At 47.5% G+C, this 17,800-nt stretch overlaps 1 protein-coding gene across 10 annotated transcripts in view, besides 1 other annotated feature; it reads left to right on the forward strand.

The window, feature by feature from the left end:
* The window catches only part of OGDH (oxoglutarate dehydrogenase), a 102,440-nt gene that overhangs the window by 62,423 nt on the left and 22,217 nt on the right, over positions 1 to 17,800 (forward strand). For 9 of the 10 annotated variants that reach the window (NM_001439009.1, XM_011515408.3, NM_001439008.1 and 6 more), the window contains 5 exons: positions 4,738 to 4,892; positions 5,362 to 5,508; positions 6,129 to 6,219; positions 6,921 to 7,100; positions 12,671 to 12,799. In NM_001439009.1, the coding sequence (NP_001425938.1) occupies positions 4,738 to 4,892; positions 5,362 to 5,508; positions 6,129 to 6,219; positions 6,921 to 7,100; positions 12,671 to 12,799 (702 nt within the window). Of the gene's footprint in view, positions 1 to 4,737; positions 4,893 to 5,361; positions 5,509 to 6,128; positions 6,220 to 6,920; positions 7,534 to 12,670; positions 12,800 to 17,800 lie in introns of those variants that run through there. The other variant, NM_001003941.3, reaches the window with a different exon arrangement.
* Positions 9,097 to 9,310: a silencer, noted in NCBI's record as "fragment chr7:44717745-44717958 (GRCh37/hg19 assembly coordinates)". NCBI's record gives its function as "represses an EF-1alpha promoter that drives an FKBP-Casp9 reporter gene in an ReSE screen in phorbol 12-myristate 13-acetate-treated (for megakaryocytic differentiation) K562 erythroleukemia cells {active_cell/tissue: K562(+PMA)}" and the evidence as "EXISTENCE:reporter gene assay evidence [ECO:0000049][PMID:32094911]".

Raw genomic sequence — 17,800 nt, forward strand, 5'->3', positions numbered from 1 at the left:
TACAACAGCCATCTGGTGATACCAGCCTGTGCTGAGAGCAGACTCAGCACTAGTACCTTTTACCTCAGAGGAGTCCCCTGTGGGGAGCCCGGCAGCTTTTTTTTTTTTTTTTTTTTTTTTTGAGACAGGGTCTCACTCTGTCACCCAGGCTGGAGGGCAGTGGCACAATCATGGCCCACTGCAGCCTCAACCTCTGGGATTAACCAATCCCCCTACTTCAGCCTCCTGAGTAGCTGGGACTATAGGAGCACACCACCATGCCTGGCTAATTTTTGTATTTTTTATAGAGATGAGATCTCACCACGTTGCCCAGGCTGATCTTGAACTCCTGGAGTCAAGTGATCCTCTTGCCTTCGTCTCCCAAAATGCTGGGATTACAGGCATGAGCCACTGCTCCTGGCCCCAGCAGCTCATCCTTAAACATGCTCTCACATTGGAAAGCTCCCATGGAGTCACTGTCTCCATAGCACGTCACAGTGTCACCTCTCAGGGGCCTGTTCAGGACCTTCCTTCCCAGAGAGCATAGGCATTGATGTCCCTATGGCTAACTTCCTATCTGAATCTTGAATCCCAGGTAATTTCGATTTCATCATATGAAGGGGGTGGAGGGCCTGAAGCACATTGAAGGGCTGCCTCCCTTTCAGTCCAGTTGATGCCAGAGCCTTGGAGTTGGCTCTTGTTGTCTGAGATGGTTGGACCTGTACCCAGGAGTCTAAGGCTGTATGCGCTCCTGGCCCCAGAGCAGCCCCAACTTAGAAGACTCCATTTTCACAACAGTTTACAGACATTTGCATAAAGTTCTCATTGCCCTGCCTGATGGTGATGCTTTACTTACATTTAATGTGTGTGTATGTTAGATTGGTGATATAATCAGACAGATCTTAAGCTATTGATCACGTGATGTGGTGGTCAATTTGTACCTTTTTCAAAAATTAGAGGAAATTCAACTTATTGGCTTCCTAAAAATTGTCTCATTAGAGGGAAAAACAAAGAATCAGCCCCTGAATCTTGCTGCCCTTTTCTCCTGGAGACAGGGCCAAGAACAGGAAAAACACAGCATGATCTAGTGGCCCGGTAACTACATCTCCAAGTTAATTGTTAAAGTAATGCTGATGTTGGAGAGATACTGATTTCTAGAGTTTTTAACCCAATAGTTTCTTCTGTTCAATAATGGAAATTCTGCCACCGTCAGGTGTAAAAGGGAGAGAGGAAAGGCATGGGCAGAGCCTGGGTAGCACAGTTCTGCCAGCTCTGTAATTGGAAACAGCAGTAGTGATGAAGGGAAGAGTCCTTCCCTCACAGCACCCCTCACCAGTGGGTCATTTGGGGTCGTGATGATGAAGAAGGGACAGATAGCCAGTTACTGGGTTTGCAACTCAGGCATGGACCCCATCCAAAGAGGGTAGGTCCTCTTTGAAGGTTCTCATTAACAGCCACTCTGGGGCTGGCCATGTCTTCTTGAATGGGTTTCTGCAGAAATGTAGTTTCTTCTGCTGGTCAGTACCTTGGGCACTATGGATCCCCAAGTGTCTGTAAAGTTGAGATGGTACAGTGGACTGATGTTGACTCTGAAATTAGGGATTAGGGGGCCAACTACACCCTCTTCTTGTATTTTTTGTGCATCTAATTTAGAAGTTCATAGTTTTATCTTAGATGTGATTAGAAAATATGGTTTGTGGGGCTGGGCGTGGTGGCTCAAGCCTGTAATCCCAGCACTTTGGGAGGCCAAGGCGGGCGAATCACGAGGTCAGGAGATCGAGACCATCCTAGCTAACACAGTGAAACCCCGTCTCTACTAAAAATAGAAGAAAATTAGCTGGGCGTGGTGGCGGGCACCTGTAGTCCCAACTACTCGGGAGGCTGAGCCAGGAGAATGGCATGAACCCGGGAGGCAGAGCTTGCAATGAGCCGAGATCGTGCTACTGCACTCCAGCCTGGGCAACAGAGCAAGACTCCATCTCAAAAAAAAAAAAAAAAAAGAAAAGAAAAAAAAGAAAATATGGTTTGGGGTTGTCTTAGTCCATTTTGTATTGCTATAAAGTATAAAGGAATATCTGAGGTTGGATAATTTATAATGAAAAAGGGGTTATTTGGCTCACAATCTAATTGGGCATCTGCATTTGGTGAGGGCCTCAGGCTGCTTCCACTCCTAGTGGAAGGCAGAGGGGAGCCTGCTTGTGCAGAGATCACATGGTGGGAGGGGAAGCAAGAGAGAGTGTGGGGAGGTGCCAGGCTCTTTTTAGCAACCAGCTCTCTCAAGAACTAATAGAGCAAGAACCCACTCACCTCTGAGCAAGGGCATTAATCTATTCATGAGGGATCCACCCTCACAAACAAAACATCTCCCATGTGGCCCCACTTCCAACATTGGGGATCAAATTTCATCAGGAGGTTTGTGGGGGAACAAACGGGTTAATAAAAATATCTTAAATAGCCGGGCGCGGTGGCTCACGCCTGTAATTCCAGCACTTTGTGAGGCCGAGGCGGGCGGATCACGAGGTCAGGAGATCGAGACCATCCTGGCTAACACGGTGAAACCCCGTCTCTACTAAAAATACAACAAAAAAAATTAGCCGGGCGTGGTGGCATGCACCTATAGTCCCAGCTACTCGGGAGGCTGAGGCAGGAGAATCGCTTGAACCCGGGAGGCGGAGGTTGCAGTGAGCTGGGATTGCACCACTGCACTCCAGTCTGGGCGACAAAGCGAGACTGCGTCTCAAAAAAAAAAAAAAAAAAAATGCCAGACGCGGTGGCTCACGCCTGTAATCCCAGCACTTTGGGAGGCTGAGGCAGGCGGATCACGAGGTCAGGAGATCAAGACCATCATGGCTAACATGGTGAAACCCTGTCTCCACTAAAAATACAAAAAATTAGCCGGGTGTGGTGGCGGGCGCCTGTAGTCCCAGCTACTTGGGAGGCTGAGGCAGGAGAATGGTGTGAACCCAGGAGGCAGAGCTTGCAGTGAGCCGAGATTGTGCCACTGCACTCCAGCCTGGGTGACAGAGCAAGACTCCATCTCAAAAATAAATAAATTAATTAATTAATTAAAAAAAAAACCTTAAATACTAGGGTCTTTCCCAGCAGCACTTTCTCTTTTAGTTCCTAGGCAAGATTTTTCTTCTGTTGACTTGGATAATAACTAGAGTATTGTGGTTGGCCATAATTTTGAGTTTAGGCAAAGTTTGCTTTGTTTCATGGTCACGGAGCTTGTGTACAGGGATAGCCCACCCTCCTCTGCAAAGAACAGGGCTGGTCTCAGATTCAGCACATCCTTTAACTGCTCATGCCAGCTGGTCTCATTGTCTGTTGTGAAAACCAAGTGGGGTCATGGATGAGAGCTGCTGAGCAGGACCTAACACTCTAAGTACTCTGGCAGCAGTGGCTGCTGTAAAGGCAGTTAGAGGAGGCTTTGGGGGTCTGTAAAGTGTCTGTTGGCCCACATTAGGGCCTATCTTCTTTTTATTCCATGCTGACTTGCAGTTTGCTCTCAGACTCTCATTCTGGTCCTCCAGGGCAGCTGTGCAGGTCGAGTTTTGGGCCTCTGCAGGAGTACCAGGATGAGGGCAGCCCGAGAGGGATTTCTTTTTGTTTTTTGTTTTTTTTTTTTTTTTGAGATGGAGTCTCACTCTATCGCCCAGGCTGGAGTGCAGTGGCATGATCTTGGCTCACTGCAACCTCCGCCTCCTGGGTTCAAGCGATTCTCCTGCGTCAGCCTCCTGAGTGGCTGGGATAACAGGCACATGCCACCATACCTGGCTAATTTTTGTATTTTTAGTAGAGACGGGGTTTCACCATATTGGTCAGGCTGGTCTCAAACTCCTGACCTTGTGATCTGCCTGCCTCAGCCTCCCAAAGTGCTGGGATTACAGGCGTGAGCCACCGCGCCTGGCCCCGAGATGGACTTCTAAGAGCCTGGTGCCTCCTCTCGCTCCTGGCACCTCTCCTCTTCCTGAATTCCTCCCTGCCGAGCTCTGCAGATCTGGATGCTGCTTCCTCACCCAGCTGTGCAGTGTGAACGTGGTACAGGACATCTTGATCTGCTCAGGATCCTGACTTTTGTCTTATGGGCAATCTTGCTTCCTGAGGCAGAAGGATCATTTGAGCCCAGGAGTTCAAGACCAGCCTGGGTAACATAGTGAGACCTCATCTCTCCAAAAAATTCAAAACATGAGGCAAGAAGATCACTTGAGCTCAAGAGGTTGAGGCTGCAACGGGCTCTGATAGCGCTACTGCACTCCCGCCTCGATGACAGAGACCCTGCCTCAAAAAAATAAATAAATAAATAAATAATTTTTAAAACCTGCAAATCTTTAACAGCCATTGAGCCTATGACACCCTATGGGCATTTCCTGTCATGGGTGCTGGTACAGGTCTGACCTTGATGACAGCCTGTCTTCCCTGGGGAAGGACCCAGTTCCACAACTGTTGCGGTCTGTGCTTCTTGCCACAAAGGTAACAGAGTAGAACTGGGGTTGTCCCTTGGCCTGCCCTTGGAAGGCTAGGAGGTTCTCTGTGTACAAGTGACCCAGGTCCCTGAAGGAAGCACTTCATGACCCTATGAAGAGGGCTTCTGCCTGGCACCCACTCCATCCCATCCTCAGTCACACTTGATTGGAGTACATTTCAGAACAAGCCTCCTGCTTATCCCCTCCTTCTGGCTGAATGGGCAGTCGGCAGTCTTCATTCAGCCAGGCCTGGTTAGAAATCCCCTTGACTGTGTGTTTCTGTATGGAATAGATGGCCTACTGCCAGCATATTGGGGTGGAGTTCATGTTCATCAATGACCTGGAGCAGTGCCAGTGGATCCGGCAGAAGTTTGAGACCCCTGGGATCATGCAGTTCACAAATGAGGAGAAACGGACCCTGCTGGCCAGGCTTGTGCGGTCCACCAGGTATGGGTCTGGCCCTGGGCCATGGGGCAGACATTCCCAGGGAAGCAGTGACCCTGTCTGTGTTGATCGGGCCTGTGTGCAGCCTGTTGGCCGAGGTGAGAGGGGGTTTGGGGTGGTACAGGCAAAGCTCCATCTGCACATGTGTGAAGAGACACCAGACAAGTAGAGTCAGCCTTCAGAGCAACCTCCGCCTCCTGAATTCAAGTGATTCTCTTGCCTCAGCCTCCTGAGTAGCAGGGATTACAGAGGCACACCACCACGGCTGGCTAATTTTTATATTTTTAGTAGAGATGAGGTTTCACCGTGTTGGCCAGGCTGGTCTCGAACTCCTGACCTCAGCTGATCTGCCCACCTCGGCCTCCCAAGGTGCTGGGATTACAGGTGTGAGCCTCCATGCCTGGCCAGAATCCCCTCTTTTTGGTCAGGAAGAGTGACATTGCCCTTCAAGGTGGCTTGGTTCCCTGTCCAGGTTTGAGGAGTTCCTACAGCGGAAGTGGTCCTCTGAGAAGCGCTTTGGTCTAGAAGGCTGCGAGGTACTGATCCCTGCCCTCAAGACCATCATTGACAAGTCTAGTGAGAATGGCGTGGACTACGTGATCATGGGCATGCCACACAGGTACAGCCAAGGGCGCGCCCAACCTGGTTTCTCACCATCCCTGTGGGCTGTGTAGGAGGCACCAGGTAAAGGCACTGAGAGAGCAGCTGTTTCCTCCTTGAGTGCCAGTTGTGAGTCTGGGCTCATCTGGTACCTGAGGGTGTATTGCTTTGCAGGGGATTCTCACATTGCCTGCCTCTGGAGGACTGCAAAGTCATGGTCACCTCCAAAGCCACATGTAGTTTCAGACTGGCATTTGGCCTTACAGTGCATCTTTATGAAAATTAAACCCAAGTTCCCTTGTTGGGGTCTAACCTGGAGGGAAGGCTGCTTCCTGACATTGAAGGGGAGGCCAAGACTGTGAAAATAGGGAAGGTGTGGGGAGGGAGAAGGGTAAGGAAGCCTCAGGCCCATGGCATTGCTGCATCTTCTATCTTTCTGCTGCCCACTGTGGCCTTGATTGCCCAGCACGGAGAGGCTCGGTTCCCACATTAGCTCCAGTTTACAGCTATCCTTGGGCTGCAAACCGAGGAGGTGCCGTGTCCTGGGGGGAGGGGGAGGGGGGGATTGTAACACCCTCATCTGCCATCTGGAAACCATGACCTCAGGCTCTGCTCACCCTACTCGCCCATACGTTCCAGAGGGCGGCTGAACGTGCTTGCAAATGTCATCAGGAAGGAGCTGGAACAGATCTTCTGTCAATTCGATTCAAAGCTGGAGGCAGCTGATGAGGTGAGGCACCTGCATAGAGACACATCCAGCATAGCCCCAACTTACACAAGACCCCTGGCTCCACTTCTTTCTTAGAATGACTTACGGGGGGTTGGTTCTTCTGTACCATTTGTGATTTGCCTTCCTTGTTGGGAGAATTTTAGTGTTGGGACAAAGGTGGCCAGTGGCCCACCTCCTGGTCAGAGGTCCAGCAGCCCCACTCTGAGTGCAGGGGTGTGTCCCCTCTGGCTGAGGGACGTTCTCCTTATGCCCTGGATGGGAATGATCCTGGGAAAAGGCCTCCATATCCTTCTGCGTTGGGTTCCTGGGAGTAGAAATCCCATATAAGGCTGGGCATGGTGGCTCACATCCGTAACCCCAACACTTTGGGAGGCTGAGGCAGGCGGATCACGTGAGGTCGAGAGTTTGAGACCAGCCTGACCAACATGGAGAAACCCCATCTCTACTAAAAATACAAAATTAGCCGGGCGTGGTGGCGCATGCCTGTAATCCCAGCTACTCGGGAGGCTGAGGCAGGAGAATCGCTTGAACCCAGAAAGTGGAGGTTGCAGTGAGCCGAGATCGCGCCATTGCACTCCAACCTGGGCAACAAGAGCGAAACTCCATCTCAAAAAAAAAAAAAAAATTCCCGTATAAAAGGGCTCTTTTGGAGACTGAGCATCTCCTTGGCCAGGGTGCAAATTCACTGTTTACCCCATCAGGGCTCCGGAGATGTGAAGTACCACCTGGGCATGTATCACCGCAGGATCAATCGTGTCACCGACAGGAACATTACCTTGTCCTTGGTGGCCAACCCTTCCCACCTTGAGGCCGCTGACCCCGTGGTGATGGGCAAGACCAAAGCCGAACAGTTTTACTGTGGCGACACTGAAGGGAAAAAGGTAAGGCCCAGAGAGAGGCGTGCAAGGCAGATCGTCAAGGCCCCATGTTCCAGCATGGAGTTCCGCTCACCAACATAACCCAGAGCCCTGGGTGCATCTAGACTTTAAAAAAATATTTAAAGTCGGCCGGGCGCAGTGTCTCACGCCTGTAATCCCAGCACTTTGGGAGGCCGAGGTGGGCAGATCACCTGAGTTCGGGAGTTGGAGACCAGCCTGACCAACATGGAGAAACTCCATCTCTACTAAAAATACAAAATTAGCTGGGCGTGGTGGCGCGCGCCTGTAATCCCAGCTACTCAGGAGGCTGAGGCAGGAGAATCGCTTGAACCCGGGAGGTGGAGGTTGCAGTGAGCCGAGATTACGCCATTGCACTCCAGCCTGGGCCAACAAGAGCGAAACTCTGTCTCAAAGAAAAAAATAAATAAATAAAAAATATATGTATATGTATGTATGTGTGTGTGTGTGTATATATATATATATATATATATATATTTAAAATCAACTTTTAAAGAATAGCAATAGTAAAACAGTCCTGCTTACAGTGTTCCTTTTCCTGAAGTTGTAATTGTCAGAACTATGTGGGAAGTTTGCTTTTGTCTTCACCAAATCTGTTAAGGAGCCAGGTTGCAGTTATTCTGAATGGACAGAGATGTTTTCACTGAAAAGGAGGGGAGTCTGAGAGTCTCTGTAAGGAAAAAGTGTAGGTGAGCCTGAAGGAGAAATTGTAGAACTGAGACTTGTCAGGAGAGTCATGCTTGCTGTGATTAGAGGCGGGAGTTCACGGGCTGGTAGGAGACGGAGGAGGGCACAGACTGCAGGCAGGTGGGGTCCTGCTTCACCATTTCTGGTCATGTGACTGAGTGTTGGGGGTTGACTCGCCTGCCTGCTTGTGTAGAAATAGTCTCAACAGATTGTAACAATTTGCCCTTATTTAACTTCAAGATAGAATCTTGTCTGACAAATTTTATATTTCCTATTAATGATGACCTAAAAACCAAATAATCAGAAAAAAAATCAAATATTTGTAATGTCTTATGTATGGGTTCTGGGAAACATATAAAGAAGGCATCACCACTTTTCTCTCCAGAGCCTCCTGTTCTTTTTAGAAAAAAGGTCGTGTGTAAAGAAGCAAATAGCACATACACGGCATGATAGGAAACTGGAGTTAGCCGTGAAGAGCTTTGGAAGAGGTGTGCAGGGGTGTGGGCTAGAGTTGGACCAAGGATAGAAGGCACACCCCTTAGTAGCAGAGCAGGTAGTTGTCATTTTATTTGAGAAGTGGCAGGATTTAGGGAGGTGGGAAGGGAAGAATGTTTTCTGGAGATGAAAGGTAAGAGCAAAGATGTAGGGGGAATTGGGGACACAGAGCAGGGAGGGGCCGGCCTCCTAGTTGTGCCCTGGAAAGAAGTCAGGTCTATGTTAGAAGTGGAACCAATTGGCCAGGTGCGGTGGCTCACGCCTGTAATCCCAGCACTTTGGGAGGCTGAGGCGGGTGGATCACCTGAGGTCAGGAGTTCGAGACCATCCTGGCTAACACAGTGAAACCCCATCTCTACTAAAAATACAAAAAAAAAATTAGCCGGGCATGGTGGCACACGCCTGTAGTCTCAGCTACTCAGGAGGCTGAGGCAGGAGAATTGCTTGAACCTGGGAGGCGGAGGTTGCAGTGAGCTGAGATCACGCCACTGCACTCCAGCCTGGGTGACAGAGGGAGACTCCTTCTCAAAGGAAAAAAAAAAAAAAAAGAAGTGGAACCAATTATTACTTTACCAGGCTCTATAATTTTAAATACTGTAAATCTACTACTGTCATGCTTACAGTGTTAGAGGAAGGGAAACTGTCATCATAGGTAATGGAGCCTGGGCTGGGGAAGTGATTCCCGCATCGATCAATGCTCACTGTAAAGAACGAGTATGACCCACAGGGACGCAGAGGTCATTCCATGGCTTCAAGCTCATGGGCCAGGACAGTGCCACAGAAACTTCAACTAGATGCAAAGAGGCCTTAGCTCTGGGGAACCTGCAGCCCCCGCAGGCAGTAACAACACTGGGTGTCTGGGATGGCCTGGGCTAAGGTGAGATCGGCATGGGGAGATCAGCATTGTGATGACCAGTGCCTCTGGTATTTGCACCCTCCTTGGCTAGGACACTCGCCCAGGCATTTGGGCTGAGTAGTGGAATGAGATTACCGAAAACTTTGGGTGATTCCCACATTCATAGATTGTGGACAGAAATCCACTCTAGCAGTACTCACCTCATAATGCTGGAAATTTCCCAAAAAGGAATGAAATCATTAGAGTAAAAGCAATAGAGTATATTTTAAACTGCTACAGATGGTCACACTGATTGGTCCCTTCATGAGATGCCAGGACAGGAGAGGCTGGTTAGTCCCTGATTTGCTCATAAGTCTGCATGCAGCTGAGTCCGAACTGTCAGTCCCTTTGTTTTCCAGTCTACACAAACCTTGTTGTCACAAGTTTGCCCTTGCCCCAATGTGGATAGCTGCCAGGCCCTCTTTCTGAGCCTCCTCGTCACCTTGCCTCAAGCCCTCACATGTCCCCAGCAGGGTCAGTGTGGGGTCATTGCAGGCTCAGCCATCTGCCTGTTCTTCTTACTCCTCTTGACACCCATAGGACATGATTTGATTTCTATTAAATCCAGAAACTCAGGGAGCTGGAGTGTGTGTTATGTAACTCTCAGCATTTTTCGTGAAGAATTACATACTTTCTGTAAGTGCAGCTGAGGTCATCCCATAACCTCATGCATGATTGTGAAACAGACCTGATTTGGCTCAGTGCTAATATGGCCTTTGGGATCTTTGTTCATGAAAGCATTTCCTCAGTGCAGCAATGCAACCTGCTGCAAAGGGAGAACCCGCTCCTGCCAGAGGTATGGCTCAGGCTGCCAGACACAAGGAGATTCCCCATGTGTCCTGGCTGTGATTTCAGCAGACAGTTACCACAGTGCAGTATGGCATGGTAGTCGCAGTACAACATCACCAGGATGATCAAGAGCAAATACCATGACAAGAGGAAGACTGACTACAGGTGCCCTGTCAGCAGAAGACAGACTGGACAGAAAAGTATCTGCGGGAAGAAACAACACACTATCGGGATCAGGAAAGCATGAAATGTCAGTGACTCAAAACCAATGGCTTTTACACTCAGGCAGCCTGGGCATCGTAGCAAAGCTGCACACCTCCAAGGGGGCCCCGTAAGCAAACCAGATCCTTACGTCCACATGCTGCTATCCTAGTGAGCACCTGCCACATCCACCAAAAGGCAGGACACCTGCAGTTCTGTTTTTAAAAATTCTAGGTTTTGTCCCTGACACACAAATCATGGGTCTTAACCAAGGATGACTCAGCACAGCGCTGAGGACCAGGGTAATCACAAGAACTCAGGGAGGTGCAGGTCAGTAGGCCCGTAGGCTGAGGACACAGCAGGAGAGGGTGTGTTGTATATCACCTTGGCTAGCCACAGCGTCCAGGTTTTTTTTGCTAAACACCCATCTAGATGGCATTTTGTAAAGATAAGATTAACGTTTAAACCAGTAGATTTTGAGTAAAGTAGAAGACCTTGCACAATGTGAGTGGGTTTCATCCAGTCAGTTCAAGGCCTTCGAGAAAAAACTGAGGTTCCCAGAAAAGAAGGAATTCTGCCTCCAGACAGCCTTCACACTTAAGCTGCAACATCAGCTCTGCTGTGGGTCTCCAGCCTGCCAGCCCGCCCTGCAGACTTTGCACTTGCCAGCCTGATTCCTTAAAAACCCATCTTTCTCGGCCAGGCACGATGACTCATGCCTGTAATCCCAGCACTTTGGGAGGCTGAGGCAAGAGGAGTGCTTGAACCCAGGAGTTTGAGACCAGCATGACCAACATGGTGAAACCTCGTGTCTACAAAAAAATGCCAAAATTAGCCAGGCATGGTGGCATGTACTTGTATTCCCTGCTACTTGTGTGACTGAGGTGGGAAAATCACTTGAGCTTGGGAGGCAGAGGTTGCAGTGAGCTGAGATCGTGCCACTGCACTCCAGCCTGGGTGAAAGAGTGAGACCCTGCCTCAAAAAAAAAGAAAAAGAAGAAAAGAAAGAAAGAAAATCATTCTCTCTCTCCCTCTTCCTCTTCACCCTCTCAGTTCTGTCTCTCTGGAGAGCTCTGACTAATACAAGGGTTTTAAAGAGGTATAGGCTGTGTATCCAAGGAGTAGAGGTGGTGGGCTTACATGATTGTGGCATTGGGGACACTGAGCAAATGAGTAAACATATCAAAGGCAGTGAGGATGGAGTGTCTTGCAGTTGTAGGAGATATTTATAGGTGTGGAAGGAGGTGGCCTAGAAAGTGTTGGATTAAAATTTGGAGGTATCAATACAAACTCATAGTTTTATTGCATACACACACACACACACACACACACACACACACACAGAAATAGCCATGTATATGTGCGCCTGCATATGCACACATGTATTTTTTAGATGTATGCGGAATGGGCCTAGAAATGATGATATCCTGGCAGTGATGAGCACACAAATACTGGTCTTAAATCCCATCCTCTACTGGAGGAAGCTGGCTTCTTAGAGAAACAGCTGATATTGTCCAGGGCTGGACAGGGACAGTACAACATGGAAGCTACAATGTTCTGTTGGTCAGGAAGCAAGGAGGTGCTCATGAATGAAAGAGACCTGTCCCTGTTCACAGGAAAGGGAGGCAGCTGGACAGAGCTGCTCTCCCTATCAACCTGGAACAGTGTGAGCATTAAAATAACTAACAATATTAATGCAACCTGTCGAATAAAATAGGAACCATGAGTACATACTAACACGAGTAAATAAACAAGGGAGAAGGGAAAGCTCTTCCTTGCAGAGAATGCCAACTAATAAATTTAGGAGTAATCGAAACTGGTGTTTGCCATCCATCAACCACCCAAGGGGCTGGTTCAGACGCAGTTGTCAATACTGCTGAGGCTGGGGTGGAGGTTTGAGGAGGAACAGGATGTAAAGTTTCTTCTCACAAAATACTACCACTATACTCATTGCCAAGGAAAACAATGGTGAGTGAAAGGGAGGATAGCAGACAGCAGCCTCCCAGGTGAGCAGAGTTAACCTGACCTGATGCAGTATGTCCTTCCCAAGTGGGGACCCAAGGTCTGTCAAGGGTGCAAAGACAAGAAGGATGAGGAGCTGCTCCTGGTTGGAGGAGCCAAAGAGACCTGGCAAGTGATGCTGCCCTCCCATGTGGGGTCTGGGGCCAATGGCTAAGCTAGTGCTGCCCTCCCGGAACAGAGGGTCCGGGTAGTCATGTTGGAGAGTGTCCTAGCAATGCATCAGGTCTACAGCTCTTTCAGTGCTGAGAACAGATGATGATGGCAGGGTGTGTTGGTGTTGAGCAGATATACCAAGGTGCTAGCATGTTGGGGATTTGGGGCCCTGTGGACTTTCCTGCTACTTTCTATGTTTGAAATTATCTCAAAACGTTATTTTTTGAAAAACAAATGATGCATTTCCTCTGTTTACCTTGTGGACTTGGCAATCAGAACATTCTGGATTTGGGGTCTCCTTTGGTGTTTACAGGTCATGTCCATCCTGTTGCATGGGGATGCTGCATTTGCTGGCCAGGGCATTGTGTACGAGACCTTCCACCTCAGCGACCTGCCATCCTACACAACTCATGGCACCGTGCACGTGGTCGTCAACAACCAGGTACCTCACACCAGCCTGCGGCTTTGCTGCTCACATCAGTCTTACTTAGAATGACATCTCTGAGTCATTTAGGACGTTCACTGTTTTCTGATTATAAAAATACATCTGTTATTAAAAACCAGGTGCAGTGGCTCACGCCTGTAATCGTAGCACTTTGGGAAGCCAAGGCAGGAGGATTGCTTCAGCCCATGAGTTTGAGACCAGTCTGGGCAATATAGTGAGACCCCCTTTCTCTGCAAAAAAATTGAAAAATTAGCACTGGGTGGCCGGGTGCAGTGGCTCAGTCCTGTAATCCCAGCACTTTGGGAGGCCGAGGCAGGTGGATCACCTGAGGTCAGGAGTTCAAGCCTGGCCAATGTGGTGAAACCCCGTCTCTGCTAAAAATACAAAATTAGCCATGGGATCACATGCCTGTGATCCCAGCTGCTTGGAAGGCTGAGGCAGGAGAATTGCTTGAACCCGAGAGGTGAAGGTTACAGTGAGCCAAGATTGCGCCATTGCATTCCAGCCTGGACAACAAGAGCGAAACTCCATTTCAAAAAAAAAAAAGAAAAGAAAAAAAGTTAGCACCGGGCATGGTGGCCCACAAATGTAATCCCAGCACTTTGGGAGGCCAAGGTGGGCAGATCACTTGAGGCCAGGAGTTCGAGACCAGCCTGGCCAACATGGAGAAACCTCATCTCTACTAAAAATACAAAGCTACCTGCTTGGTGGCGCGCACTTGTAATCCCAGCTGCTTGGGAGGCTGAGGCACAAGAATCACTTGAAACCCTTGAGGCGGAGGTTACCGTGAGCCAAGATCACACCACTAAGCCTGGGCGACAGAGCAGGAGTCTGTCTAAAAAAAAAATTAAAAAAATTAGGCATGGTGGTGCATGCCTGTGGTCCTAGCTACTTGGGGGTTTGAGATAGGAGGATCACTTGAACCTGGGAGGTCGAGGCTGCAGTGAGCCATGATTATGCCACTGCACTCTAGTCTGGGCAACAGAGTGAGACCCTGTCTTGAAAAAAATAAATAGGCTGGGCGTGGTGGCTCACACCTGTAATCCCAGCACTTTGGGCGGCCGAGGCAGACGGATCATGAGGTCAAGAGATCGAGACCATCCTGGCTACCACAGTGAAACCCCGTCTCTACTAAAAATACAAAAAAATTAGGCGGGTGTGGTGGCGGGCACCTATAGTCCCAGCTACTTGGGAGGCTGAGGCAGGAGAATGGCGTGAACCCGGGAGGTGGAGCTCACAGTGAGCTGAGATCACGCCACTGCACTCCAGCCTGGATGACAGAGCAAGACTCTGTCTCAAAATAAATAAGTAAATAAATAAATAAAAAAGAAAAAAATAGATTTTAATACATTATTTTTAAGATGGCATTATTGTTTTAGATTTTTGTTTGTTTGTTTGAGACCAGTCTTGCCCCATAGCTCACGCTGGAGTGTAGGGGCATGATGATAGCTCATTGCAGCCTTGAACTCATGGACTCAAGCATCTTCCTGCCTCAGCCTCCCGAGTAGCAAGGACTATAGACGTGCACCACCACTCCTGACTAATTTTTTTTTATTTTGTGTAGAGGCGGGATGTCACTCTGTTACCGAGGCTGCTCTTGAACTCCTGGCTTCAAGTGATCCTCCCATCTTGGTCTCCCAAAGCACTGGGATTGTAGGTGTGATCCACCATGCCCGACAAGAATATTTTCTTCTGGTTCCACAGGCATACAGATGGCCTGTGCATGGGGACGTTCTCTTTCTTTAAGAAACTGGGTTCCATGTACACAGCTTTATATCCACTCTTATTTACCACATATTTGCTCATATCATTACGTACCCTTTTAAAATAATTTTAATAGAAATATCTTATAACTTGTTTCATAAAATGGACTCTTAGGATTCTCATTTTTTATTTTCAGTAAGGCTGTGATGAACATTCTCATGAATATTTCTGCACAGGCCTGATACATATCACCTGTTAGATTCTTCCACCAGCCGTAGCTAAGGGTTCCCCTCATCGATGCGTGTGAAGTTTCCATAACAGATATTCTAGTGCCTTTTAACTCTAGGCACTCTCCTAGGTACCAGGCAGAGCACCGGTGTGCTCCCTATCATCACAGACCTTATAGTTTAGTGCAGGGTCAGGGGGCTCATAGACAGTGCCATGAAGTGGGTGTGGGAGGTGTTCTGCAAGATACTGGGTTAGTCAGCAGACAAGTCACTGAGGATTTGACATTTAAATGGAAACTTCAAGGTCAGGTAGGCAAATATTGGGGAGCATCAGATCAAGTCAGGAGAGAGGTCCTAGTGTCTGAAGGAGTGGACAAGGCCATCGCAGCTCATCGTTAGTGCAAGAGAGAACTGCCATCAGCCAGCGCCTGAGGAAAGCTCCCAATGGCATTGGGAGGCCATTGGAGAGACTGACGCAAGGAAGTGATGAGATACTGGTTGGTTATAAAGATGATTTGTTATAGTTTAGAATTGATTAGAGGAGGACAGAGAAACACATGCAGCTGTCTCAGCAAGAAGTAGAGAGAGGGAAAAATTTAAATTTAAATAAGTAAATATGCTCACTAAGTAGCAAATACTAAAGAGCTCAAAATTTAAGAGGTCAAATACTAAGAGAGGGTAAGAACATTATCCAGTGCAAATATAACACACAATATGGTAAAAGCTACCACTTACTGCCTACTGTGTCCCAGATGCTGAATTAGGTACTTTATGTATATTAACTTAATTTGTAGGGTAGTTACCCATGCAGTGAGTGGTACTATTCCCATTTTACAGAAGTGAAAATTGAGGAGCAGAGAGATTGAATAGCTTACTAGAGGAAATGATAAGAGTCAGTATTTGATCTGCTTTCTTTGAAAGAATAGTGTTAGAAAACCTGAAAAGTTCCCTGTACCAAGGGAACAGAGATGTCTAAAAAAAACCAACCTCACTACTGAACTGAGTTTTTTTCTATTTTTTTTTTTGAAACAGAGTCTTGCTCTGTCACCCAGGCTGGAGTGCAGTGGCGTGATCTTGGCTCACTGCAACCTCCACCTCCCAGGTTCAAGCGATTCTCCTGTCTGTCTCCCAAGTAGCTGGGATTACAGGCACGTGCCACCACACCTGGCTAATTTTTGTATTTTTAGTAGAGATGGGATTTCACCATATTGGTCAGGGTGGTCATGAACTCCTGACCTCATGATCCGCCTGCTTCAGCCTCCTAAAGTGCTGGGATTACAGGCATGAGCCACCGCTCCTGGCCTTTTTTCTGTTTTTTTACTAGGGTAAAATATACATAAAATTTACATTGTTAACTATTTTTAAGTGAACAGTTTAGTGGTATTAAATACATTCATAATATTGTGCAACCATCACCACCACCCATCTCCAAAACTGTTTCGTCTCCAACAGAAATTCCATACCCATTCAACATGAACTCCGAGTCCTTGCTTCCCTGACCCCCAGCCCCTGGCAACTATCCACTCTACTTTCTGTCTCTATGATTTTGAGTACTCTAAGGACTTCATATAAATGGAATCATAGTATTTGTCTTTTTGTGCCTGGGCTATTTCACTTAGCAGAATGTCCTCAAGGTCCATCCACGTTATAGCATGTGTTAGAGTTTCCTACCTTTTTAAGGCTGAATAATATTCCACTCTATAAGTAAAATATATCACATTTTGCTTATTCATTCATCAGTGGATACTTGGGTTACTTCCACATTTTCCTGTTATGAATAATGCTGCTATGATGCTATGAACATGTCTGTCCATATATCTCTTTGACACCCTGCTTTCTTTTTTTTTTTCCTTTGAGACGGGGTCTTGCTCTGTTGCCCAGGCTGAAGTGCAGTGGTGTGATCATAGCTCACTGCAGCCTCCAACTCCTGGGCTCATGCAGTCCCCCCACCTCAGCTTCCAAAATAGCTGGAATTACAGGTGTGCACCACCATGCCCAGCTATTTTTTTTTTCAATTTTCTTGTAGAGTTAGGGTCTCTCTATGTTGCCCAGGCTGCTCTTGAACTCCTGGGCTCAAGCAGTCCCTCCTCTGAGGCCTCTCAAAGTGCTGGGATTACAGGCATGAGCCACTGTGCCTGACTGAAATCCTGCTTTCCGTTCTTTGGAGTATATATCCAGAAGTGGAGTGGAATTGCTACATCATATGATAGTTCTATTTTTAACTTTTTGAGTAACTGCTTATTAGTTCTAATTTTCTTTCTTTCTTTTTTTTTTTGAGGATTCTTTCTGGATGGACAGTCATGTGACTTCAAATAGAGAAAGTTATTTTCCTTCCTTTCCAATCCACATGTATCTATGCTTTGTATTTTCTTTTTTCTTATTGCACTGGCTAGGACCTCAGCACAGTGTCAAAGTGGATAAAAACGGACATCCTTTTCTTGTTTCCAATTTTTGGAAGAAAGTGTTTAGTATTTGATCATTAAGTATGATGTCAGCTGTAGCTTTTTTGTAGATGTCCCTTACCATGGCTAGGGGAGTTCCCTTCTGTCTCTAATCTGTGGACAGTATATATAATGAATGGATGCTTATTTTTGTCAGTGCTCTTCTGCATCCATTGAGATGACCATATAGTTTGCTAATGATGAAGTACATTAATTTTCAAATGTGGAATTTTTGTCTTATGTTCATGAGGGGTATTGATCTTTTGTTGTAATGCCTTTATCTGGTTTTGCTATCAGGGTAATGCTGGCCTCGTGAAATGTTAAGAGGAGGTTCCTCTTCTATATTCTGAATGAGTTTCTGTATAATTAATATTATTCCCTTCCTAAATGATTGGTAGAATCCACCACTGAAAGACTTCTGGGCTTACAGTTTTCTTTGTGGGAAGGTTTTTATTTTCTTTTTTTCTTTTTTTTTTTTTTTTTGAGACGGAGTCTTGCTCTGTCGCCCAGGCCGGAGTGCAATGGCATGATCTCGGCTCACTGTAGCCTCCACCTCCTGGGTTCAAGGATTCTCCTGCTTCAGCCTCCTGAGTAGCTGTGACTACAGGCGCCTGCCACCACACCCA

Source organism: Homo sapiens, chromosome 7, assembly GCF_000001405.40.
Source record: "Homo sapiens chromosome 7, GRCh38.p14 Primary Assembly".
Taxonomy (NCBI): domain Eukaryota; kingdom Metazoa; phylum Chordata; class Mammalia; order Primates; family Hominidae; genus Homo; species Homo sapiens.